The sequence below is a fragment of the Homo sapiens genome, chromosome 8 (genome assembly GCF_000001405.40).
Source record: "Homo sapiens chromosome 8, GRCh38.p14 Primary Assembly".
NCBI classification, from domain to species: domain Eukaryota; kingdom Metazoa; phylum Chordata; class Mammalia; order Primates; family Hominidae; genus Homo; species Homo sapiens.
The window spans coordinates 73,945,119-73,972,226 of NC_000008.11; the positions used below are offsets into that span (position 1 = coordinate 73,945,119).

Consider the following 27,108-nt stretch of genomic DNA (forward strand, 5'->3'; position numbering starts at 1 on the left):
TTTTTTTTTTTTTTTTTTTGAGACAGTCTCGCTCTGTCACCCAGGCTGGAGTGCAGTGGTGCGATCTCGGCTCACTGCCACCTCCACCTCCCAGGTTCAAGCGATTCTCATGCCTCAGCCTCACAAGTAGCTGGGATTACAGGCGTGTGCCACCATGGCCTAGCTAATTTTTGCATTTTTGGTAGAGATGGGGTTTTGCCATGGTGGCCAGGCTGGTCTCAAACTCCTGGCCTCAAGTGATCTACCCGCCTCGTCCTCTGAAAGTGCTGGGATTACAGGCATGAGCCACCGGGCTCAGCCATATTAAGCCAGTCTCAAATAAGCTGGAGACTTAAGTTTATAGACCCTATAATGACAACTTTGTTCCACCTCTGAGATAAAGACAATACTAAACCCATCTCCAGTGCTTCTTTCCCCATGCATAAGGAATGATGCTGTCATATTTTTTCAAAAAATTTTTTGGCTGCTTAATAGAAAAGCTGAATGAGCTTGATTTCAGTAGAAGACCCACTGATTATGGGTATATTTATTGGGACATATTTTAATAGAAGATAATTCATGTAGGATATCTTCAATGCATTATAATATGATTTTCACTGTATCTCTTCACATGTTATTCCATAACATTCTAATTGGATGGAGAAAGACTGGAATAGTTCAAAAAGGTGTAGCTTTTAAGATCTGAATAAAGTTAATAGTGAGTCTTTTAAAATACATTTAAACAACTGGAAGTATAATCACAACAAGGGACTATGAAGGAAGAATAAATATTGCAAACGACGCTTTATAGTCAATGCAAATACAGTACTTTGAATTACCCAAAATGTATAATGCACAAGAACTCTAAGTCATGTAGTTTACTTGCTGACCATCTGGCTACAGTTCAGTTTCTTCTGCAAAAGCTGTACCTAGTAACCTTCCAAAATTGTTTTTAAATAAAGTTCTTAAATTGTAGCAATAAACAAAAGGACAAAGTACACTTAAAGAATACTGCAGTTTATCAAAAGACATAAGAAATTTCAACTCATACTTGGAGAGTTATAAAAATCAATGTTTTGGCTAAGTTATAAACATGTTTATAATGCAATTATTTGCATAACTCTAGTAATGCTAATGGCGGCTATAAGATTAGGTTTCTAAAAAACCACTAAAAACATAAAAATACTTAGCCTCATTATTTCCCTGTAGAACGTATTGATTTACACCTAAATTTCAGTATTTACTATATCATCATTGCTGATTTTAAGTCACATTCAAAGGATAAGGCAAAACCACCTACGAATTGGCATATTTGTTTATTTCTCAGTTTGTGAAAATGTCCTTAATTTGTTGATGTAGCAAACAAATTTCAACTTTGATTGCTATGCAAAAAAACAAGATAATCTGCTTTGCAATGAACTTTATATAGTTCAACTGCATACAGGCAACATGCTATATATGAAAAAGTTACTAACTGAACTACAGGTATTAAATACTGAAAAGAGTTAACAGTTTATTATAATTTATTTTATTTAACAATCTAAGAAGTTCGCAGCCATCAGCAGTTCCAGTGCAATTTCAGGTGCAATTGGGAATTCAGGAATCTCGGTGGAGCTGTTAGTGTAGCGAACCTTGTACGTAAAATACATGCATACTTTCGATAGCACATGTGAAGGTATCTCTCTAAAATTGACCTCATTGGTTTCGTTCTCAGCAAACTGACCTGTAAAACAAAAGAATTATGTATGTTATTGGCTGAATTGTGTCCTCCAAATTCATATGTTGAAGTCTTAACCCCTTGTACCACAGAATGTGGCTGTATTTAGAGATAAGTTCTTTAAAGAGGTAATTAAAAGAGGTCATTAGGGTGGCAATCCAATATGATTGGTGTCTTTTTGTTTGTTTGTTTGAGACAGAGTCGCGCTCTGTCACCCAGGCTGAAGTGCAATGGCGGGATCTCAGCTCACTGCAACCTCCACCTCCCAGGTTCAAGCGATTTTCCTGCCTCAGCCTCCTGAGTAGCTGGGATTACAGGTGTGCAGCACCACGACCGGCTAATTTTTGTATTTTTAGTAGAGACGGGGTTTCACCATGTTGGTCAGGCTGGTCTCAAACTCCTGACCTCATGATCCACCCACCTCAGCCTCCCAAAGTGCTGGGATTACAGGCATGAGCCACCGCGCCCGGCCATGATTGGTATTCTCGTAAGAGATCCGGACAGAGATGGGCATAGAGGGAAAACTGTGTGAAGACAGGAAGAAGATGGCCATGTACAAGACAAAAAGAGAGCCTCAGAAGAGACCAACTCTACTTTCAACCTCTACACTCCAGAATTGTGAGAAAATAAAGTTCTGTTGTTCAAGCCATCTAGGGGTGGTACTTTGTTATGGCAGCCCTAGCAAACTAATCATCATTAAAATAACCTCAATTAGCACCAAATGAATTATGGAATTCTGATTTTTTTAGTATTAACCTAAGTTTTTTTCTTTTTTTTGACATAGAGTCTTGATCTGTTGCCCAGGCTGGAGTGCAGTGGCATGGTTGTGGCTCACTGTAACCCCTGCCTCCTGGGCTCAAGTGATCCTCCCACCTCAGCCTCCTCGAGTAGCTGGGACCACAGGTGAGCGCCACCATGTCTGGATAATTCTTGTATTTTTTGTAGAGACAGAGTTTTGCCATGTTGCCCAGGCTGGTCTTGAACTACTGGACTCAAGTGATCCCCCTGCCTCAGAATCCCAAAGTGCTAAGATTACAGGCTTGGCCACTTGCACCTGGCCAACATTAAAAAAAACCTTTACTAAAATAGTACTTGAGGGCCGGGCGGGGTGGCTCATGCCTGTAATCCCAGCACTTTGGGAGGCTGAGGTGGGCGATCATTTGAGGTCAAGAGTTCGAGAGCAGCCTGACTAACATAGTGAAACCCCATCTGTACTAAAAATACAAAATTAGCTGGCCGTGGTGGTGAGTGCCAGTAATCCCAGGTACTCGGGAGGCTGAGGCAGGAGAATTTCTTGAACCCAGGAGGCAGAGGTTGCAGTGAGCCAAGATTGTGCCATTGCACTCCAGCCTGGGCGACAAGAACGAAACTCCGTCTCAAAAAAAAAAAAAAGATAGTACTTGAGATTCATCAAGACTGAATTTTAAAATTCTAATTCTCTCCCTGTGGGTTGGAAACTTAAGTAGCTTTTCCTAACAATCTTGGTGGTATGATTGGCGAGCAGGATGAAAAAGTAAAATCATTTTTAAAAAAGATCAATCCAGGCAATCAAGTCTTTATGGATCATTAGGATCCCTGTGTTGTACTGAATTGCCATGTAAAAATAAAGTCAGGGCAAATAACAGGTTTTCTGATTTGGCTTTTCTGAGAATTAGTGAATATATAAAATCACCTGAATCCAGGAGGTGGAAGTTGCAGTGAGCTGATATCATACCACTGCACTCCAACCTGGGTGACAGAGCAAGACTCCGTCTTAAAAGATAAAACAAAACAAACAAAAAACCTATTTAAACTATTTAACTGTTTACCTAAAATAATAAGAAAAATACTACTTAAAAGAAATGGGCTGAGCATGGTGGCTCATGCCTGTAATCACAGCACTTTGGGAGACCTACTTGTAGTCTCAGCTACTGGGGAGGCTCAGGTGGGAGGACTGCTTGAGCCCGGGAGTTCAAGGCTGCAGTGCGCCATGATGGCGCCACTGTACTCCAGCCTGGGCAAGACAGAGACCCTGTCACTCACAAGCAAGCAAGCAAGCAAGCAAGCAAGCAAGCAAGCAAGCAAGCAAAAGAAACATTTCAGGAAAGGAATTCCATTGTTTCCTCCTTTAGTTTTTTTAAAAATATGATCATGTTAACGAGATCTCTTCACAAGACATTTTCCTTTGTTTAACAGCATTTCATAAACAGTTTTTCAGTCATTCTTCAAAATTTCTGTAGCTACACAAAGGTTGTATCATTTAGCCTTTACACATAGAGATAAAATATTTTCTTAGCAGTCTAGTACTAGCACTGTATGCTGAATATAAAAGGCATTTCACATCTACAAATATACTTTGAGAATATAGTATTTTAAAATACTAAAATATATACAAAATGCCTTTTATATATCTGTTGGTTGGGGGTATACTGTAGCAGGGAGAAAGGAGTACTGCGGGACTCAGCAAATAATTCACAACAATGAGGTAAATTTTGGTTTGCCAATAACTAGAACTCCTTTTCTTAAATACATGCCTGAAAATATTGCCTATAGGCACTTATTAAGACTTTGATACTAGACAAACATCAGTGATTTTTCTAAAAGGTGAGATTTATATAACATAAAATCAACCATTTTAAAGTGTACAATTCAGTGGCATTTAGTATATTTACAATGTTGTGCAACTATCCCTTCTATTTAGTTCCAAAACATTTTCATCATCCCAAATTAAAACCCGATAATCCATTAAGCAGTTACTCCTCATCTTCCCCATCCCCCCAGCCTCTGGCAAACACCAATCTGCTTTCCGTCTCTATGGATTTACCTACTCTGGATATTTCATAAAAATGGAATCATACAAATGTGACATTTTGTGTCTGAGTTCTTTTACTTAGCATGCTGTCGAGGTGCATACGGACTGTAGCATGCTATCAGTACTTCACTCCTTTTCATGCAAACAGTAGTTTGAGGCTGAATGTTTTCTGATCTTTCCAAGATAAAAATCTTGTGTTTAAACTAAAGATCAAATTTATAAAAAGCAAAAGCTCTTTGTTTCTAGCCTGCTGTTATAAAATAAAATTAATTTTAATTAAAATTCTGTTGGCATTTGTGATTTTTTTTCCCCTTAAAGTACTTCCTTGCATTGTCCTGTGGAAAAGCCCAAAAGCAATTCATCAGATTCATCAGAGCCATGTTGTGTGTGTATATGAGGAGTGGGGGGTACAATTCAACCAAGGAGGAATGAGTATCTTCAGCACCCAGATTGGGGCCCCTAAATACCATTTTCTACTAAAAACAGGGATTTTTGGAGAAACAGCTGTTTTCGGGATCGGGGAACAATGTTCATGACATGCCTAAGAAATCTTATTACAGAAAGTAGTATAACTATTCAAGACTAACGGAGCCATGTCAAAAGGACACAGAAGCTAACACAATGTGGCTCTTTCTGACATAAAAATGAAGCAAATGGAACAATCTGAGCACCAGTAAGAATGACTGCAACAGACTGAAAAACATGAAATATAGTCATGAATTCATGATGACATTCACTCAAAAACAAAAACAAAACACTCTTTACTATTAGATGATGCTGAAGAACCAATTCATTACTCTGAAAAATTATATTTAAAAGGAAAAAAATCAAGTCTTTATCATCTTTCCCATATAGACTGTATTTCAATGTAACCAAATAATATCTTATAGGAAAATTTTAGCTAATAAATGCAAAAAATTTTACAGAATTGGAAAGTCACTGTTTTGTAATCTCAAAGTAAATCTCAACAATAATCACAATGAATGCTAAATCATAGTGGGGAATTTTTAATGGATGAATCAGCCTGACAACCTGGAACCCACTGATCAAGCTTGACACTGCTAAAAGACATGATAGAACAGGAATACAAGAGTGCTACCTACAAATATCCTTTGCTTAGAAAAATGTATCAGAGTCTAATCAAGTCTCTGGAATTTTAACTATGAGTTTACAGAATAAAGCTCAAATGTAATTCAATATGAAATATGGACAGCATACAAATGACCTTGCTTCTCTGTAAAATTAATGGCCTGCCTGGAAATAAAAGAAAAGGTGCAGGGGAACTATTGCAGATTTTCCAAGTGAAATGGCACAACATCAGGCATGTGCTTGAAATACTCCAAAAAAGTAGGGATAATGACACAACTTAAGATTGGCAAAATGGGCTGGGCATGGTGGCTCATGCCTGTAATCCCAACACTTTGGGAGGCCGAGGCAGGTGGATTGCTTGAGGTCAGGAGTTCAAGAACAGCCTGACCAACACAGTGAAACCCCATCTCTACTAAAAATACTAAAATTAGCTGGGCGTGGTGGCGGCATGCCTGTAATACCAGCTACTCAGGAAGCTGAGGGAGGAGAATCGCTTGAACCCTAGAGGCAGAGGTTGCAGTGAGCTGAGGTTGTGCCACTGCACTCCAGCCTGTGAGATAGAGCGAAAGACTGGCAAAATGTTAATAACTATTGAAGCTGGATGATGGGCACATGGAGGTGTATTACACAGTTCTCTTTACTTCTGAGTAGGTTTTAAAATCTCCATAGTAAAAACATAGAAGAATTGTGGCCACACACAGTGGCTCACACCTGTAACCCCAGCACTTTGGGAGGCCAAGTTGGGAGGACTGCTTGAGGCCAGGAGTTCAAGACCAACCTGGGCAACATCGCTACAGAAAATACAATTTAAAAAAAGGTGCATGCCTGTGGTTCCAGCTACTCAGGAGGTTGAGGTGGGAGGATTGCTTGAGCCTAGGAAGGCTTGTGCCACTACACTCCAGCCTGGGCAACAAGCAAGACCCTATCTCAAAAACAAACAAACAAAAAACCCCACAACAACAACAACAACAACAACAACAACAACAAAACAACAGACAAAACCAGAAAGAGCTGCAAGGGATCCCAAATAGCCCAAACAATCTTGAAACAGAAAAACAAAGTTGGAGGCCTCATACTTTCTGATTTTGAAACTTACTACAAAGCTACAGTAATCAAAACAGTGTGGTACTGGCATAAGGACAGACATATAGATCAATGGAATAGAATTGAGAGCCCAGAAATACACAAATCTACAGTCAACTGATTTTCAACAAGGGTGCTATGGGGAAACGGTCTCTTCAATAAATGGTAGTGGGATAGCCACATGCAAAAGAATGAAGCTGATCTCTTACTTCACAGCATAAACAAAAATTAACTTAAGACCAAAGACCTAAATTTAAGAGCCAAACCCATAAAACGCCTATAAGAAAACACAAGGGAAAACACAGGGTTAGATTTGACAACAGATTCTTATATATGACACAAAAACCAAAGGAAAAATAAATCACACTTCAAAATTAAAACTTTAGGAGGCCAAGGTCAGTGGATCACTTGAGGCTAGGATTTCGAGACCAGCCTGGCCAACACGGTGAAACTCCATCTCCACTAAAAACACAAAAACTAGCCAGGTGTGGTGGTGGGCACCTGTAATCCCAGCTATTCAGGAGGCTGAGACAGGAGAATCGGTTGAGGGTGCAGTGAGGTGGAGGGTGCAGTGAGCCGAGATTGAGCCACTGCACTCCAGCCTGGGTGACACAGCAAGACGCTGTCTCAAAATAAATAAATATATTAATTAATTTAAAAAATAAATAAATAAAAATAAAAGTGTGCTTCAAATGACACCATTAAAAAAAAAAAAAAGACTGGCCAGGTGCGGTGGCTCATGCCTGTAATCCCAGCACTTTGGGAGGCTGAGATGGGCGGATCATGAGGTCAGGAGATCAAGACCTTCCCGGCTAACACAGTGAAACCCCGTCTCTACTAAAAATACAAAAAAATTAGCTGGGTGTGGTGGCGGGCGCCTGTGGTCCCAGCTACTCGGGAGGCTGAGGCAGGAGAATGGCATGAAACTGGGAGGTGGAGCTTGCAATAAGCCAAGGTTGCGCCACTGCACTCCAGCCTGGGCAACAGGTGTCTCGAAAAAAAAAAAAAATCTATGGAATGGGAGAAAATATTAGCAAATCATGTATCTGATAAGGGTCTACTACTGAGAATTAATAAGGAACTCTCACAATTCAACAACAAAAATACAAACCACCCAATTCAAAAATGGGCAAAAGACTTGAATAGACATTTCTCCAAAGGAGATACAAAAATGTCTAGGAAGTGTATTAAATAATGTTCAACATCATTAGTCATTAAGGAAATGCAAATCAAAACCACCAGATAGGCTGGGTGTGCTGGCTCACGTCTGTAATCCCAGCACTTTGCGAGGCCGAGGTGGGCTGATCACTTGAAGCCAGGAGTTCAAGACCAGCCTGGCCAACACAGTGAGATCCCATTTCTACCAAAAATACAAAAAATTAGTTTGGCATGGTGGTGTGCACCTATAACCCCAGGTACTCAGGAGGCTGAGGCATGAGAATCGTTTGAACCTGGGAGGTGGAGGTTGCGGTGAGTGGAGACTGTGCCACTGCACTCTAGCCTGCGTAACAGAGTGAGACTATCTCAAAAAACAACCACCATCACCAAACAAACCACCTAAAACCCACCAGATAACCATTTCACACCCATTAAGATAGCAGTGATAAAAAAAAGAGTGGCCAGGCACAGTGGCTCACGCTTGTAATCCCAGCACTTTGGGAGGCTGAGGCGGGCGGGTCACCTGAGGCCGGGAATTCGAGACCAGCCTGACCAACATGGAGAAACCCCGTCTCCACTAAAATACAAAATTAGCTGGGCGTGGGGGCGCATGCCTGTAATCACAGCTGCAGGAGAATCGCTTGAACCTGGGAGGTGGAGGTTGTGGTGAACCAAGACTGCACCATTGCACTGCAGCCTGGGCAACGAGAGTGAAACTCTGTCTCAAAAAAAAAAAACCAAAAAACAAAAAACAATAACAAATATTGGCCAAGATGTATACAAACTGGAACCCTAGGACACCGTTGGTAGAAATGTAAAACAATTCAGCCACCGTGAAACAGTTCTGTGGCTCCTCCAAAAGTTAAAGAGAATTGTCATATGATCAAGCAACTGCACTTCTAAGAAGACACCCAAAAGAACTCAAAGCAGGTATTCAAACAATTATTTGTACACAAGTGTTCACAGAACTATTCATGGTAGCCAAAATGTGTCAACAACCCAAATATTTATCAACTGATGAATAAACAAATTGTGGTGTATTCACATCTGGCTGAATGAAATATTATTCAGCCATAAAAAAGAATGAAGTGCTGTACATGCACCACATAAATGAACCTTGAAAACATGAAAAATAACAAAAGCCAGATACAAAAGGCCATATACTGTATGATTCAATTTATACAAAATGGCCAGAATAGGTAAATTAGAAAGCAGACTGGTGGTAGTCAGACACTGAGGGTAGAGAATGGGAAGGGATAGTGACAGCTAATGAGTATGGAGCTTGCTTTTGGAGTAATAAAATGTTTTGGAACTAGATAGAGATGATGGCTGCAAAATACTGTGAATGCAGTAAACGCCACTAAATTGTACACTTTAAAACAGCTGCTTTTACATTATGTGAATTTTACTTCAAGAAAAAAATTTTAAGAATAGAGATTTGCGCTGGGTGTGGTGGCTCACGCCTGTAATCCCAGCACTTTGGGAGGCTGAGGCAGGCGGATCACAAGGTCAGATCGAGACCATCCTGGCTAACACGGTGAAACCCCGTCTCTACTAAAAGTACAAAAAATTAGCCTGGCGTGTGGTGGGCACCTGTAGTCCCAGACTTGGGAGGCTGAGGCATGAGAATCACTTGAACCCGGGAGGCGAAGGTTGCAGTGAGCCGAGATCGTGCCACTGCACTCCAGCCTGGGCGGCAGAGCAAGACTCCGTCTCAAAAAAAAAAAAAAAAGAATAGAGATTTGGAAGGTAGCAACTTGTTTTATCTAGCTAGGAACACAAATCACCAGTCTGTGGTTAAAAGGCTGACTATGGGCCGGGCGCAGTGGCTCACACCTATAATCCCTGCACTTTGGGAGGCTGAGGCGGGTGCACTGCCTGAGGTCAGGAGATCAAGACCAGTCCGACCAATATGGTGAAAACCCCGTCTCTACTAAAAATACAAAAAATTAGCCAGGCGTGGTGGTAGGTGCCTGTAATCCCAGCTACTCGGGAGGCTGAGGCAGAAGAATCTCTTGAACCTGGAAGGCGGAGGTTGCAGTGAGCCGAGATGGCACCATTGCACTCCAGCCTGGGTGACAGAGTGAGACTCCATCTCGGAAAAAAAAAAAAAAAAAAAAAAGGCTGACTATGGAACCTAATGTAGGAAAACCAATTCAGTCTTGTTGAAACTTATAGGATAAATAACTGAAAACAGAACATGGCAGAAATCAATTTTTTTTCCCCAATGCAACATAATCATGCAAAAGGCCAGGCATGCAAAAGGCTCATGCCTGTAATCCCCGCACTTTGCGAAGCTGAGGCAGGCGGATCACCTGAGGTCAGGAGTTCAAGACCAGCCTGGCCAACATGGTGAAACCCCATCTCTACTAAAAATACAAAAGTTAAACCTGGGCGTGGTGGCTCACTCTTGTAATCCCAGCACTTTGGGAGGCTGAGGTGGGTGGATCACTTGAGGTCAGGAGTTCGAGACCAGCCTGGCCAACATAGGGAAACCCCGTCTCTACTAAAAATACAAAAATTAGCCAGGCGTGGTGGCAGGCACTTGTAATCCCAGATACTCAGGAGGCTGAGGCAGGAGAATCGCTTGAACCCGGGAGGTGGAGGTTGCAGTGAGCCAAGATTGTGCCATTGCACTCCAGCCTGGGCAACAGAGCAAGACTCTGTCTCAAAAAAAAAAAAAAAAATTAGCCAGGGGTGGTGGTACACACCTGTAATTCCAGCTACTCTGAGGCAGGAGAATTGCCTGAACCCAGCAGGCGGAGATTGCAGTGAGCTGAGACCGCACCATTGCACTCCAGCCTGGGCAACAGAATGAGACTCTGTCTCTCTCAAACAAAAGAACAAAAACATAATCATACAACAATGTTAGAAGACTTATTTTCTCTTTAAATGCTGAATCATTAATTCAACTTAAAAACATCCATCAAACATTAAAAGTGAATATATGAAGAAAAAGACAGAACTGTGCTTACCTGGGCCACTCAACATGGCTTTTATCGTGCCTGATGTTAATGCATGTTCTCTTTTTACAATAAATTCATGGCCATCAGATGATATCAATTTGACATACATGGCATCAGGTCCTTCACAGCCACCATAGGTTTTCTCCTCTCCATCTAAAGTAAAGTAAGTAGTGAAACAATTTTTGAGTCACACAGTGTACTAAAACTAAACAGGTTTGGCTGGGCGCAGTGGCTCACGCCTGTAATCCCAGCACTTTGGCAGGCCAATCACCTGAGGTCAGGAGTTCAAGACCAGCCTGGTCAAACAAGCCCGTCTCTACTAAAAATACAAAAATTAGCTGTGTGTGGTGGCGCACACATGTAATCTCAGCTACTCGGGAGGCTGAGGCAGGAGAATCACTTGAACCTCGGAGGTGGAGGCTGCAGTGAGCCGAGATCACGCCACTGTAGTCCAGCCTGGATGACAGAGCAAAGCTCCATCTCAAAAAAAATAAATAAAAATAAAAAATAAACAGATTTATTAACAAGGTTAATATTTGAAGAACTCATACCAGAAACATTTCTGGAAGGTATTATAATAGTCACCAAGACATTAACAGTTTTTAACTCCTTGTTTTATACTTCTCTATCAACATCTTCCATTATCAGAATAAACTGTAGATTTAAGAATGCTACTTCAGTGAAAATTCACTAGTTTTTTCAAGGAGGTGTTAACAGTTGTTTTGTAACCAAAGCAGCCCATTCAAATTTGAAGACTAAGACAAATATTTAAATAGTATGACTTTAATTCTATCACCTGAAATACTCATTTTTAGAAATAAGATGCATAGCAGATTTATAAATCAGTGTTTATATGCCATGAGAGCTCGACTTCCTTTGACAAGTCCTAAGTTCTAAAAGTTAAGACTTCTTTTACTCAGCATTTCACACTTGATGGTTAAAAATAATGATCAAGTATGTATTTAGGCTGGGGGCGGTGGCTCACATCCCAGCACTTTGGGAGGCCAAGGCGGGTGGATCACGACGTCAGGAGATCGAGACCATCCTGGCTAACACAGTGGAGATCGAGACCATCCTGGCTAACACGGTGAAACCCCGTCTCTACTAAAAATACAAAAAAAATTAGCTGGGCGTGGTGGCGGGTGCCTGTAGTCCCAGCTACTCAGGAGGCTGAGGCAGGAGAATGGCATGAACACAGGAGGCGGAGCTTGCAGTGAGCCGAGACTGCGCCACTGCACTCCAGCCTGGGAAACAGAGAAAGACCCTGTCTCAAAAAAAAAAAAAAAGTATGCATTTAAACAATACTCGGTTTAAATGCATGCATTAAAAGTAATTAATATGGACAAAATATTGGTCTTTAAAAAAACCCAAAGCTGACATGAGGAGACAGAGTGCACAGATGTTACTCTGCTACTGCCATTGCTGCTGTACTGGCTTCAGTCACAGTAGCCAGATATATATAGAGTAAAAGTTACATATGCAAGTAAAAATCTCCTTAATTTTTACAATTTTGTACTGTAACAGAATTTTAATTTTTATAATTATTAACATGTGAAATAAAATAGCTTAAGGTTTATTCTAAAAACTCAGGAAGCCCTAGAAAGGATGAAGCTGAAGTACTGTTCAGCCACAAATATCCATTTGTTAAACAATTAATTCAGAAATCTCTAAAATTAAAATTAGTATCAAAATCACTCATGTGCTCCCACTGCCAAAAATGTTTAATTTGAATCAAATCACAAGAAAACAACCAGACAAATTAAAATTGAGGAATAGTCTTTGAAGTAGAAAACTATTTAAAGGAGACTAAAGAGACAAGTTAATGCATTATGATCATTTAAAATTTTTATCCATCCATCCATCCACCCACCCAACTATTTGTTTATTTATTTTTATTTTTTGAGATGGAGTCTCACTTTTGTTGTGGAGTACAGTGGCACAATCTCGGCTCACTGCAACTTCCACCTCCCAGGTTCAAGAGGTTCTCCTGCCTCAGCCTCCCGAGCAGCTGGGATTACAGGCGCCCACCACCACGGCTGGCTAATTTTTGTATTTAGTAGAGATGGGGTTTCACCATGTTGGTCAGGATGTCTCGAACTCCTGACCTCAAGTGATCCACCTGCCTTGGCCTCCCAAAGTGCTGGGATTACAGGCATGAGCCGCTGCACCCGGACTACTTATTTATTTATGGTTTTTTTTTTTTTTTTTTTAAGAGACAGGGCCTTGCTCTGTTACCCAGGCTGGAGTGCAGTGGCGCAATCATGGCTCACAGTAACCTGCAACTCCTGGGTTCGAGATCCTTTGGCCTCAGCCTCCAAAGTAGCTGGGAAATAGGCGTGCACCACCATGCCTGGCTTTGGTCTTTGTTTTTTAAAAAATGGCTTCTGTTCCATGTAAAACTTGTAATAAATATTCATCTATGTTATGTCATCATCTTATGTTATGTAATAAATGTTCATCTATGTTACATTGATTTAATTCTCAGACCCAGCCAGGACCCTAAGAAGACTAGAATGGAGTTTTGCCAACTCTACAATATGAACACACACACATACACACACACGAAAGCAAATTTGGTAAAACATTAACAATCTGGTGAAAGCTATGTTAGTATCTTTTTTTGTCTAATTTTTCATAAAAAGCGGGAGGAGCCATAAAGATGTAAGTAGCTTCTAAATTACAGACTATTCAAGCATATAGATTTTTAGCAGTTTTTGCCAACCTCAAAAAAGAAAAATAAAAATGGTTATTATTTCAATTTATGCTTCTAATATTTTTGGCAACAGAAAACATTGTATGTTTGTCAGGAGAGTTTCAAATTTCTTAAGGTAAAATTACTCACTAAAAATCACAAATTGGGGTTAGCACGATATTATTACTGATCTGCCTGTCGGGAATATATAGTCATGCATTGCTTAACGATGGAGATACCTTCCAAGACAAGAAATGCATCATTAGGCAATCTTATCATGATGCAAACATCCTAAGAGTGTACTTACTAAATCTAGAGTGTATTTACACCTAGGCTATATGGTGTAACCTACTGCTCCTAGGCTACAAACCTGTACGGTATGTTACTGTATGAATACTATAAGCAACTGTAACATGAGGGTAAGTATTTGTGTATCTAAACATAGAAAAGGTACAGTAGAAATATAGCATAAAAGAGTTAAAAAGGTATACCTGTATAGGGCACTCACGATGAATGGAGTCTGCAGGACTGGAAATTGCTCTGTGTGAGTTGGTAAGTGAGTGGTGAGTGAATGTGAAGGCCTAATGCATTACTATACTACTACAGACTTCATAAGTACTGTACACTTAGGCTACAGTAAATTTACCTGTTGCCCAGGCTGGAGCGCAGTCGTGCAATCATAGCTTATTTCTGCCTCGAACTCCTGGGCTCATTCAAGCAACTCTCTGGTCTCAGCCTCCCAGGCAGCTGGACTATAAGCGTGAGCCACTGCACCCAGCACTATTTTTCTTTATATCCTTATTCTATATGCTTTTTTCTATTTTAAAAAATTGTAATTTTTGTTCTTTTTAAATTTTTTTGTTAAAAACTAAGATACAATCACACATTAGCCTAGGCCTATACAAGGACAAGATCATCAAGATGTCACCGTAGGCCACAGGAATTTTTCAGCTCTATTATAATCTTTATGAAACCATGTCACACATGTGGTCCAACACTGACCGAAAAATCATTATGTAGGGCATGACTGTGTAGTAAACATAAGCTGTTGATGTGGACAACTAATTTCAGTCTACTGAAATTTTACTTGTGTTCACTGAATTTTAAAGATCTTTGAAACAAAGTCCAGTTTCTACTAGTTAAAACACAAAATTAATTATCTTTAGCTTACCCATTTTGTTCTTATGAAATTCTACTTTGCTTCCCCAGGAACTTTAGTAGTTTCCTGAAAATATAACAATATCATATTAAGATTAATGTTGCAAGAGACAAGTTTTCATTCACTGTTATTTAATGTCCTTGGTGTTAAAAGTTTAAGAACTCTCCCTCCTGGTTACATTACGAGCTCACCATTCCTACAACAAAAACACTGTACTTTTATAAAATCAATTGAAGAATACCAAAATGCTTTGTGAGCTTGATCAGTTGGCACTTCTGAATCAGAGAAAGATTACTTAAAATAGAAACATAACATATAATCATTATAAATTGATTGGGGGTGGGGTTGTTGAAGAGGTTGTAAAATGTGACATGTTAAAAGTAACAGACGTGTAAAAATGTTCATTCCATTAAAATACATACACGGAACATAATTATCGAGAAAAAACTGCCATACTGAGGTGTTTTAAGGCAGAGGTCCTTTATTCTTTTTCTGGATAAAGGCCTCCGTTGAAAATCCAAACAAAACTATGGGTCCTGTTGTATAATAAAGAATTTGGCTGGTTTTTGATCCTCGTTTTGAGAGGTGGCCTCTAAATCCTTGGAATTTCCCTAGTGATACAAGTCCTTGCTATTCTTCATGGGTCCTGGTAGTTTATGTTAACCAGGTAACTCATAATGGGCCTTTGGATAGTTTAAACTAACAAAAGGACTCAGGACAAAAAGCTTTGAGGTGCCTTTTTTGATATCAACATGACCTCCAGTTGGAGGGGTGCTGAAGACTCAGCTCAGCCTTGTTGCTTATGACTCATCAATCATGTCTACAGAATGAAACCCCAAGAAAATCCCTGGACACCAAAGCTCAAGTGAGCTTTTGAGGTTAGCAATGCTCTGTACACCTTGCTATGGTACACATGCTGGAAGGATGATGCATACTGACTTAAAACAGTGAGGACACAGCAAGTTCTGGATCTTGTATTTAGTACACAGTGGTAGACAATAAGCAAATATTTGCTTGAATGAATGGCATGATATAACCAAGGACATGAAGTAACTTCCATGAGAATAAAAAAGACAGGGCTGGGTGCAGTGGCTCACACCTGTAATCCCAGCACTTTGGATGGCTGAGGCAGGAGTACTGCCTGAACCCAGGAGACTGAGACCAGCCTGGACAACACAGTGAGATCCTATCTCTAAAATAAATAAATAAATAAATAAGAAAAAAGAGAAGTCTTGCTCTTTACTTAGATAAGTACACATACATATTTTTATGCTTCCATCTCTTCCATATACAGGCTAAGTTTTGAAATTTAACAATAAAGTGGTTAAAAATGTACAAGTTTTTGAGAAATTATAAATTTGACAAAATAACAAGATGATTGCTAAAGGAAATGGTTTCACTTTCTCAGTAACTGTATTTTAGTAACATACTACAGCATTTATTCAGGGGATCTCATTTATACTGATACTCTTTTTTACGTCATTAACAGGAAAAAAGCATTTCCTAACTATCATGCTCTAAGAAATTCCTGACAAATTTTAGTTCTGGCCTTAAGAGAAGGGTCAAGAAAATGAACCATAACACTTCAACGCAGAAAAGGAACTTGCAAGTAACCTCTCTAATGCCTCAGGTTTAAATAATGTCATCCATGTAGAGAGGATAAATAATTTGTTTCAGGTAGCGACAGAGCAGGAGCAGAAATCAAATCTTAGTCTAGAACACTTGCTAGGCATGGAGACAGATATTCAAAGTACCATCACTCTCTCTTTTTTTTTTTTTGAGAGGCAGTCTTGCTCTATTGCCCAGGCTGGAGTGCAGAAGCACGATCTCAGCTCACAGCAACCTCTGCCTCCCAGGTTCAAATGATTTGCCCGCCTCAGCCTCCCCAGTAGCTGGGATTACAGGCGTCTGTCACCGTGCCTGGCTAATTTTTGTATTTTAGTAGAGACCAGGTTTCGCCATGTTGGCCAGGCTGGTCTCGAACTCCTGACCTCAGGTGATCCACTTGCCTCAGCCTCCCAAAGTACCATTTCTAATTTGAGATAAAGCAGAGAAAATAGGCAGCACTAACAATTAAATCTGATGAGCCTTTTGCAGGCCTAAGAAGCGGTAAACACTGTACTAAATGCCTTACATACATTATCTTGTTTATTTATTTTTTGAGACAGAGTCTCACTCTTTGGCCCAGGCTGGAGTGCAGTGGCGTGATCTTGGCTCACTGCAACCTCTGCCTTCCAGGTTCAAACGATTCTTGTGCCTCAGCCTCCCGAGTAGCTGGGACTACAGGTGCATGGGACCATGTCCAGCTAATTTTTGTATTTTCAGTAGAGACGGGGTTTCACCATGTTGGCCAGGCTGGTCTTGAGCTCCTGACCTCAAGTGATCCACCCAACTCAGCCTCCCAAAGTGCTGGGAGTACAGGTGTGAGCCACTGTGCCTGGCCTATCTTATTTAAAAACAACTCTTCCACAAGGGAATTATTCTGATTTTAGAGATGAGAAACACTGGAAGAGTCTGCTACTTGTTGAAGGCTTCTACAGCTTAAGTGGCAGCGTTAGGATTTAAACCTAGGTAGGTCTGACTTCACAGCCCACATTCCACTCCTTCCATTATTGCCTACTACCACAGTAAAAAATTCTGGCTCCAGTTAAACTTAATTGCCACAATTCCCAACAGCTACTGATGTAAATCCTCAAATAGTTCTCTAAAATTTAAAAATAGTACTGTCATTTTATGATACTACGCAATTTAAAAATTCATGAGAGCCATTATTATTTTCTTTTCATTATACTGCTTTGTAAATACTCTTTTAAAAAACAAAACAAAAAAAAAAACAAAACAAATGCGAGAAAGCTTGAAGTACAAGAATTTCAAGGGCCAACTCTTTTATCTGGAAAATCCCTAGAATAAAACATTTAGGATGTTTATCTAACTAGCAGTAGCTAAGCAACAATGCAAAGTCACATCTTAGGAGCCCTTTGGGTAGCAACAGTTTCTCTACAGAGTTAATGTAGTAAATCAATTCCATCATTTTATACAACAGAGATTAAGGAGAGAAGAGGAGACCCACCCTTTCTCCCACCTTTGAAAGGGAAAATCAACATTAAGAGTTAAAATTCCTAATTCTTAGGTAGAAGTTAGAAATATTTAAAATATGATTCAGTTTGGACCCAATCCATAAGTTATCTAAAGAAATATAAGTTTGAGGAGACAAAAATTTCAGCTTGAACATGTATTCCATCACAGAGCTGAATTCTGGAAATATGAATTGGGCAGGTAAAAGCCACTCGTAGGGGAACCGCTGGATTGAGAATAGTTCTAGGCAGAAGAAAGAGCATGAACAATGGCCTGAGACGTCATTATGCTTTTAAGGTGTTACATATAAATATTAATCTCTTAAAGTTTTTTTGTGTATGTTTGTGTTTAATAACAAATACTTAAAAAATCTAGGTGAGCCTAGGGCCTACACTGAAATTAAGTGTTGAATCTAGTATCAGTGAATATTTATAAGATATTTGAATAGCTTATCCTTTGATTTGAAATATTACCTTTATCATATTCTATATTGCTACATGAAATTCTAGACTATATTCTGTACAGGAATAGTTGGGTAAGTCTCCATTTTGTTCTCACATGTTTCTTGTTAGGTCTACTTTTAGGTACTTTTAAGTTTCCATTATGAATGGGGTCTGTTTTACTATGATATTTTCTGAAAGGCTATTGCTCGTGTTGTTAAAAGCTTTAAAATGTCCTAAGTTGATTTTGCATCCCGTCATTTTTTTTGCAGAACTCATATAAGTTTTAATAGTTTTTCAGTTGACTTACTTGAATTACCTAAGTAGATAACAGACACTGCTGCAAAATCTGTTCTTCATATCTTTTTGTCTTTTTACATTGGCTATTTACTTGGATAAAATAAGGTTAGAACAGATCACTCACAAAAATACACTACAGATTAAAGAGCCAAATGTAAAATATCCATAAAAATCCATGAACTCTGGAAAAATAGCAGAAAAAAGAATACAACTAGCTTAGACAGGTATAAAAATGCTTGATGGGGCTGGGTGTGATGGCTCACGCCTATAATCCCAGCACTTTGGGAGGCCGAAGGGGGTGGATCACCTGAGGTCAGGAGTTCGAGACTAGCCTGACCAACATGGTGAAACCCCGTCTCCACGAAAAATACAATAATTAGCTGGGTGTAGTAGTGGGTGCCTGTAATCCCAGCTACTCGGGAGGCTGAGGCAGGAGAATGGCTTGAACCCAGGAGGCGGAGGTTGCAGTGAGCCAAGACTGCGCCACTGCACTCCAGCCTGGGCGATAAGAGTGAAATTCCGTCTCAAAAAAAAAAAAAAAAAAAAGTATTACATATAGTAGTGTGGATTGCAACAGGTAATCACAGTATGTTAAGTGGTCCCTGGATAGTGAATGATGGTTCTCTGTAGTTTATATTTTGGTGGGCTACAGTTGTTTCATATCAACTTATAAATGGCCAAAAAAAAAAAAAAAAAAGATAAGCACAGATTTCCTGAATCCTTATATGGAAAAGTGAGTCAAAGGTCAAAGCGTATGGTGAGAAAGGACAGTCTCTTCAACAAAGGAAGCTGGAACAATATCCATATGGATAAGAAGCTCACTGTTAAACCATACACAAAAATCAATTTCAGATGGTTCACAGAATTCAACTTAAAATGCAAAATAAGGCTACTAGAAGAAAACAAATTATTTTCATACCCTCACTGTAGGCAAAGATTTCTCAGCAGCCAGGTGCAGTGGCTCACACCTGCAATCGCAACACTTTGGGAGGGAGATCACTTGAGGTCAGGAATTTGAGACCAGCCGGGCACTCCAGCCTGGGCCACACAGCAAGACTCTGTCTCAAAAAACAAAACAAAAATCTCAGAAAAGATGCAAAAAGCACAAATTGTAAATGAAAAACTTGATGAACTGCATTTCTCCAAAACAAAACTTCTGTTCATCAAATACCATAGCTGGGCACCGTGGCTCACACGTATAATCTCAGCACTTTGGGAGGCCAAGGCAAGCTGACTGTTTGAACCCAGGAGTTTGAGACCAGCCTGGACAACATGGTGGTGAAACCCCGTTTCTATAAAAAATAGAAAAATTAGCTGGGCATGGTGGTGCATACCTGTAGCCCAAGGTATTTGGGAGGCTGAGATGGGAGAATCACCTGAGCCCGAGGAGGGTAAGGCTGCAGCAGGCCATGATGGTTCCACTGCATTCCAGCCTGAGCAAGAGTAAGACACTGTCTCAAAAACAAACCAAAAAAAAAAAAAAAAACTCTCAAAAACCAAAAAGAAAAATGAAAAAAATGAAGTCAAGCCACGAACTGGAAAAAAATATTCACAACGCGTATCTGACAATGGATTTGCATCTAGAGTAAATTAAAAAATTCCTGTATGTCAATAAAAAAAAAATCCAATTAAAGTTGGGCAGAAGAATTGAATGAACACATTAAAAAGTGCTCAACATTATTACTTATCAGTGAAACTCAAAACTGCAACGAAATACTACTATACAGCCACGAGTATAGCTAAAATTAAAAAGACTGTGAACATTAAAGGCTGGAGAGGATGTGGAGCAAATGAATTCTCATACACTGCTGATGGGGAGTCCATCATAATAGGAGAATGGATAAATAAGCTGTGGTACATTCATACAGAGCAGTACTATTCACAAAAAGGGATGATCTACTGATACAACATGGAAGAATATAAAAATACTACACTAAGTGGACAAGCCAAACAAAAAAGTATACATTGTATTATCCGATTTATATAAAATTATAGAACAGGCAAAACAAACCAATGGTGACAGCTCAGCAGGTGATTAGAGAGGAACATTCTGGAGTGATAAAAATGTCTTGCTATATATTTGTCAAAACTAAATGGTACAATTAGCATTTCACTGTATGTAGGTTAAAGCTAGAATTTTAAAAAAAGATAGCATTTCTGAAGTTTATTTTACCTTAACTCCAAAGATATCATCACTCTAGGATGGTTTTCTGCCTAATTAAGCTTTTGAAAGTGACATCGGTAATAAAATTAACCCAAATTTTCTAGCTATGCAAATGCTAACAGAGGAGGAATAAGAGTTGGTCGTCCCAAAGAAAGGAAATATGAGACTACAAATCTACAACAGAAGATCTGTTAAGTGAACAGTTATAAAAGGAAAGTAGCTTTTGATCTGGGTCTCGATGGGTAGAGGTATTTTTACCAGGCAAAACTGGAAAGGAGGGAGATCCAGGCAAAGTGAACAGTATGACCTCAGTCAGACAGCTTGGGGCACACAATGTAACTCAGTGTTGTTGGAAATCAGTTTACAGATTCATTCATTCAATAAATATTTACCAAGGGTTAGGATGCTAGATGCTCACCTAGGCACTGGGGACAGAGATGAACATAACAAACATTCCAACCTAATGGGAAGAATGGTGGGGACAGAAAACCAAAACAAAATAATACATACGGCATGGTGAAGAACTAACATTAACAGAGATCTGAAGAAAGCAAGGGAATGAGTCACAGATATTTGAAGGAACAGCTTTTTATGGAGGGAGAATGGCAAGGAGAACAGTCTGGCCAGATGAGTGAGTCAAGAAGAGAGTGTAGGAAGATAGGAAAAGAGGTGAGAGTTTGGGAAGTTGGACTTTATCAAAGAGGGGAACAGTGACACATAAGGAACACATACTGAGATACTGACCAAGCCATGGGTCTTTTTTTTTTTTTTTGAGACAAGTTCTTGCTCTGTCACCCAAGTTGAAGTACAGTTGTGCAATCCTGGCTCAGTGCAGCCTCAACCTTCAGAGCTCAAAGGATTCTCCCACCTTCTTCCTGAGTAGCCTGCTACCAAGCCCGGCTAAAATTTCTTTTTTTTTTTTTTTTAAGTGGAGGTCTCCCTGTGTTGCCCAAGCTGGTCTCCAACTTCTGAGCTCAAGTAAACCTCCTGCCTTGACCTCCCAAAGTGCTGCGATTATAGGTGTGAGCCACCACACATAGCCCAAGACATGGGTCTTGAATGCCTAATATAATAGTAAACAACACTACATAAGAATGTATTCCTCCTTTGCTACATTATCCTGTTTCATCACTCCTATCTATCCTTTTGCTGCTATCATTTCTGAAGACTTGATTTCAGCCCTCCATATAATGTAGTGCTTAAAATCAGTCAACTCCTAGCTATGTCACTGCGGGAGAACTAACCTAATCTTTCCTTGCCTGGTTTCTTCAACGGTAAAATGAGGATAATACAGCATCTACCTCACAGAGCTGTTCTGAAGAATAAATGGCTTTACATATAAAAGCACTCAGAATACTGCCTAGCACACATTAAAACACTGGCCATTATTCTATTTTTGAACCAGAGGTTCATTTCTATATGTATCAAGGGCCTACCATGTGCCAGGCACTGCTCTACATGCTTGGGAGGAATCTGTGGACAAAATAAATCCAACAACCTCTCCTCCACCCGTATCCTGGAATTTACATTTTTAGTGTGGGGGTTGACACACTAAAGGGCCAAAAAATAAGTATTTTTTGCTTAGCAGGCTGTAAGGTCTCTGTTACAACTACTCCAACTCTGCCACTGGAGTGCAAAAGCAGCCACAGACAAGATGTAAACGATTGAGTGTGGCTATGATCCAACAAAACTTTATTTATGGGCAAAAAAGGGTACATTTTATATAATTTTCTTTTCTTTTTTTTTTTTTTTTGAGACAGAGTTTCGCTCTTGTTACCCAGGCTGGAGTGCAGTGGTGCAACCTTGGCTCACTGCAACCTCCACCTCCCAGGTTCAAGTGATTCTCCTGCCTCAGCCTCCCGAGTAGCTGGGATTACAGGCATGCATCACCACGCCTAGCTAATTATTTGTATTTTTAGTGGAGACAGGGTTTCACCATTTGGTCAGGCTGGTCTCAAACTCCTGACCTCTGGTAATCCGCTCACCTTGGCCTCCCAAAGTGCTGGGATTACAGGCGTGAGCCACTGCATCCGGCCTATAATTTTCATGTTATAAAATACACATTTACTTTGAATTTCTGTCCAACTATTAAAACATTTAAAAACCATTCTTAGCTTGCGGGTAGTATAAAAGCAGGTAGTGGGCCAGATGTGGCCTGTGGTTCTAACTTGTTGACTCTGTTCTAGCAGGTTCTTAATCTGCAGTCCCCCATTCCTCGAGGTTCACAGATAAGCAGTAGAATCCCAAACCCTTCAATCTGTAAGCACAATTTTGTGCCTATGTGCAGTTCACAGTAAGAGGCATGAGAAGGTCCACAGCTTTCATCTCTTATCATAAATTAAGAACTAGCCCAGTTGAATGAAAATCAATGGCTACCTTATATAGACCCGAATCCATCTCCACATCTGAATTTCTACTCTGTTTGACATTTCTATCTTGAGACTCGGATAAATTAAGTGATAGGACTTCTGTTTCTTCATCTTCCAAATGAGACAATTGGACTCAATTATGTCCAAAAGTCCATTCTGGCTCTATTTCATGACTAAATCCATCTGAAATTCATCCTTCCCAGACAACCACCTATAACTCAGCTTCCCATGTTTATTACCCAGAGTCGCCCTCCCACAACACAGAACTTAAGGGCTGCAGAGCGCTGCATGTTCTGAGTCTGTCTGCCTCACCCCTGCAAACGACCTAATTATTCTCTCAAATAATATCTCCAAACTCCCTTGTTTCAGTTTTAAAATTATAAGCAGATATTCCCAACATATAATGTGTATTAATCATAGATTCTACATATTAACAGAACCTTTCGAAAGATAGGCTAAAAATAAACTGAAACCAATCACTTCAGTTGCCTTGTCTCTCCATCTTCAGCATTCCTGTGTTTATATATTTTGTCCACCCTGCTATTTCAAATATTGAATAAAAACTGTCCTTCCTACTAAAGGTCAACCTTTCCACTTAAGCAATGATTGATATTCCGTCACCTAACTAAAGACTCTGCTATGGCCATTATTCCCATCCACTTCTTAACCTATTCTGATCAGCCTTTGGCCCACCAGTCCATTTTAGGGGTTCTTATCAAATTTCAACTACTTCACTTGGTCACATGGTCAATTTTTAATCCTCATTTAGCAGTGTTTTATACAATTGCCTACTCCCTCCATCTTGAAACATTTCTTCCTTAGTACTCCAGATGTCACACACTCCTGGCTTTTCTGCTTCCATTACTGTATGCTCCTCTTCTAACTGGAGTGCTCCCAGTCATCTGCCTTCTTCTCCATTTAACATTCCCTATTTGATGTCCTCCAGACCAGAGGTTATCATCTATAAAATATGACTCCCAGATCATCTCCCTAGTTTTTCTCCCGAGTGCCAGTCGTGAATATCCAACTTTTCTACTGCACATATTCTCAGGTGTCTACTAGTTATCGAACTCAGTAAGTCCCATATAGAACTTCTGATTTATCAATCTCAGAAACTGATACTCCCTTCCTTTGTCTTCCCCATTTCAGTACATGCACTGCTGTTTACCCAGATTCTTGGAAAAGTGATTCGTTATTCAAAAAACATTTTTTTTTGTTCGTTTTGTTCCTGGGAAGAAAGCAAAACCCATTTGGCTCCAGCTTCAAATTACATTCCAAATCAGACTACTACTCACTTTCAACTCCACACTTCTAGTTCAAGCTACCATGTCTCAACTGGACATTTGATTTACTTCCCTACTTACCACTCTGATCTTGTCTCCCACCACTCTTCCTTCACTATGCTCCAGTCACACTGGCCTTTTTGGTATTCCTCGAAATCGGTCAAGTTCACTCTTACCTCAAGGTCTTTGCATTTGTAATTGCTGTTGTCCGAAAAGCTTTTAAATCCTCATCATTTAGGTCTCCAGGTAAAACATCAACTCCTCAGAGAGGTCTTCCTTCCCTGATGATCCTACCAAAATTAGACACCCCATCCCAGTCACTCTAACCCTTAACCTTGCTATATTTTTTTCACATTTATCACTTCCTGAAACTATACTTGCTTACTTACACATATCCTTTCTTTCCTCAAGTTTCTTGACAGCAGGCCTAGAATAGTGCCTGGCACTTAGTAGATGCTCAATAAATATTTCTTGAGTGAATGTACTATTATTTTCCTAATCGCTGAGGCTTGAAATTCAGGCATTACTGGATGGGCTTTTTCTGCTCTTACTTAATAACAACAATAAAGAATTTAGGACAGCAGTTTAGCTGAAATGCATTAACACATAAATATGACCATAGCTGGCCAGATTTGGTGGTTCATGCCTGTTATTCCAGCACTTTGGGAGGCCAAGGCAGGAAGCCTACTTGAGCCCCCAAAACAAAAAATTAGCTAGGTGTCGTGGTGGGCACCTATAGTCCCAGCTACTAGGGAGGCTGAGGCAGGTGGATGGTTTGAGCCCAGGAGGTTGAGGCTAGAGTGAGCCGTGATAGTGCTACTGCACTCCAGCCTGGGAGTGCAGAACAGAGTGAGACTCTGACTCAAAAATAAATATGAGCATAATAGCAAAGATTTCCCTGATTATTTTCCAGTGCTAAAAAATCTACCAAAAAAACCAAGATAAACATTTTAGAAGATTTAAACAATTAAATATCACTTTAGAACTTGATGTATAGGACTGACTATAACTTCTGGCTGTAAACTAGTGCCTATTATATTACAGAATTACCATCTGGCAATGCATACACGTGTATTTTTTGAATGGTAGTTATCAAATTTCATATTTAAGAAAAAGAGGAACGGTCACTTAATATTAAACAGGGACCCCAAATCATCATTGGCAAGAAACAATAAATATCCATTATAGTACGTACCACAGCTGTTTCCTTGCCATTGTATCTCCAGAATGAATAAATCCACATGTAAACTGCTACGTTTCAACATGATTATAATGTAAATGAGATCAGACATATGTCATTTTAGGTAACTGAATAGAAAAGGAAACAACTTTCGGGGATCAAAAAGCAAATATGGAGCCAAGCGCGGTGGCTCACGCCTGTAATCGTAGCTCTTTGGGAGGTGGAGGCGGGCGGATCACCTGAGGTCAGGAGTCCAGCCTGACCAACATGGTGAAACCCCATCTCTACTAAAAAACAAAACAAAACAAAAAAAAAACAAAATTAGCCGGCAGTGGTGGTGCGCGCCTGTAATCCCAGCTGCTCCAGAGGCTGAGGCAGGAGAATGGCTTGAACCCTGGATGCGGAGGTTGCAGTGAGCCGAGATCAAGTCACTGCACTCCAGCCTCAGGACAGAGCGAGACTCCGTCTCAAAAAAAAAAAAAAAAAAAGAAAAAGAAAAAAAGCAAATATGGCAGTTAAAAAGTGAGAAAGTGAGGTTTTAAGACACTAAAGAATTTCAAGGCCAGGCGCGGTGGCTCACGCCTGTAACCCCAGCACTTTGGGAGGCCGACGGGGGCGGATCACTTGAGGTCAGGAGTTCCAGACCAGCCTGGCCAACATGTCGAAACCCCGTCTCTACTAATAATAGATTAGTCAGGCGTGGTGGCATGCGCCTTGGTCCCAGCTACGTGGGAGGCTGAGGCAGGAGAATCACTTGAACCTGGGAGGCAGAGGTTGCAGCAAGCTGAAAACGAACCACTGCACTCTAGCCTGGGCAACAAGAGCAAGTCTGTCTCCCCCGGCCCCTTAAAAAAGAATTTCGGTTTTCTACACTAAAAGCAATGTGGAGTAGAAATGCTCACGCTAAATGGCACAAACTCCACAGTTATATGTTACTTAACAGATCTCAGTTCCTTAAGAGAAACTCAATGGGCACAGTATTTCACACTAGATACCTCCTTTCAGACAAGACTGGACGGCCAGTAGATGCACGATACCCCCAACTCATGAAGTCGAGCATAGAATCACCCAACAAGTTACCCAGAAGGTAAACTTCTCGGGTACTGCAGCTAGAAGAAGCGAGAGACCTCTCCCTGGGCTAGGGACTGACTTCAAGAAAAGAACTAATCTGAGCGGACACGAGGAACAAGCAGAAAGGAAAAGCGACAGGGCTACCATGCTCCTAACTCCACCCTCCCGCGCTCAGCCCGGAGAAGGCCCAGTCTCGCTGGCTGCTGCCCCTCCTTCCACCTCTTTCCAAACCCACCGAGCGGCGCCAGGAAAGGTCCCGCCGCCCTCTTCTCCCCTCCCCCAAACTAGGGGCTGGGGAGGCCCAAGGAGGTTAACAGCTTCCGTTCCTTCCCCGCCTAGAAGGGAAGGGGTGGGAAGTGGGATTGCGAGCTCGTCCCGTCTCGGCCTCCCTCGCCCTCCACCCTTACCCGGAGCTCCGTTTCCGCCCCAGCCCGAGACTCACTCGTCAGTCCCGCAGCCACCGCAGCCGGGTCCCCGCGTACTGCCACAGCCCCTATCCCAGGGCCGCCCCCCCACCCCCAGCTGCCTGCTCCGGTGGGTTCCGGGGCAGTCGAAAGAATTACTTCCGCTGGGTCAGAGCCGCTTTCGGCGA

General features: G+C 40.6%; 1 protein-coding gene across 20 annotated transcripts in view, besides 5 other annotated features; it reads right to left on the reverse strand.

The window, feature by feature from the left end:
• The window catches only part of ELOC (elongin C), a 27,169-nt gene continuing 61 nt past the window's right edge, over nucleotides 1-27,108 (reverse strand). Inside the window, exons 1-7 of one of the 20 annotated variants that reach the window (XM_047422160.1) lie at nucleotides 26,752-26,790; nucleotides 25,461-25,513; nucleotides 24,442-24,555; nucleotides 19,369-19,507; nucleotides 14,647-14,700; nucleotides 10,793-10,936; nucleotides 1-1,702 (exon numbers count right to left, since the gene is read on the reverse strand). In XM_047422160.1, the coding sequence (XP_047278116.1) occupies nucleotides 1,512-1,702; nucleotides 10,793-10,936; nucleotides 14,647-14,650 (339 nt within the window). In that variant the 5' untranslated portion in view covers nucleotides 14,651-14,700; nucleotides 19,369-19,507; nucleotides 24,442-24,555; nucleotides 25,461-25,513; nucleotides 26,752-26,790 and the 3' untranslated portion in view covers nucleotides 1-1,511. Of the gene's footprint in view, nucleotides 1,703-10,792; nucleotides 10,937-14,646; nucleotides 14,701-19,368; nucleotides 19,512-24,441; nucleotides 24,556-25,460; nucleotides 25,517-26,751; nucleotides 26,791-26,923; nucleotides 27,074-27,108 lie in introns of those variants that run through there. The other 19 variants (XM_047422159.1, XM_047422163.1, XM_047422161.1 and 16 more) reach the window with 19 other exon arrangements.
• Nucleotides 25,394-26,283: an enhancer, noted in NCBI's record as "H3K27ac-H3K4me1 hESC enhancer chr8:74882747-74883636 (GRCh37/hg19 assembly coordinates)". NCBI's record gives its function as "activates a minimal SCP1, AML or CMV promoter by ChIP-STARR-seq in naive H9 embryonic stem cells {active_cell/tissue: H9 hESC(naive)}" and the evidence as "EXISTENCE:reporter gene assay evidence [ECO:0000049][PMID:30033119]".
• Nucleotides 26,284-27,108: part of a biological region, named in NCBI's record as "H3K27ac-H3K4me1 hESC enhancers GRCh37_chr8:74883637-74884525 and GRCh37_chr8:74884526-74885414", that runs on past the window's edge.
• Nucleotides 26,284-27,108: part of an enhancer, noted in NCBI's record as "H3K27ac-H3K4me1 hESC enhancer chr8:74883637-74884525 (GRCh37/hg19 assembly coordinates)", that runs on past the window's edge. NCBI's record gives its function as "activates a minimal SCP1, AML or CMV promoter by ChIP-STARR-seq in naive H9 embryonic stem cells {active_cell/tissue: H9 hESC(naive)}" and the evidence as "EXISTENCE:reporter gene assay evidence [ECO:0000049][PMID:30033119]".
• Nucleotides 26,615-26,764: an enhancer, noted in NCBI's record as "active region_27536". NCBI's record gives its function as "activates an Ori minimal core promoter by ATAC-STARR-seq in GM12878 lymphoblastoid cells {active_cell/tissue: GM12878}" and the evidence as "EXISTENCE:reporter gene assay evidence [ECO:0000049][PMID:35858748]".
• Nucleotides 27,065-27,108: part of an enhancer, noted in NCBI's record as "active region_27537", that runs on past the window's edge. NCBI's record gives its function as "activates an Ori minimal core promoter by ATAC-STARR-seq in GM12878 lymphoblastoid cells {active_cell/tissue: GM12878}" and the evidence as "EXISTENCE:reporter gene assay evidence [ECO:0000049][PMID:35858748]".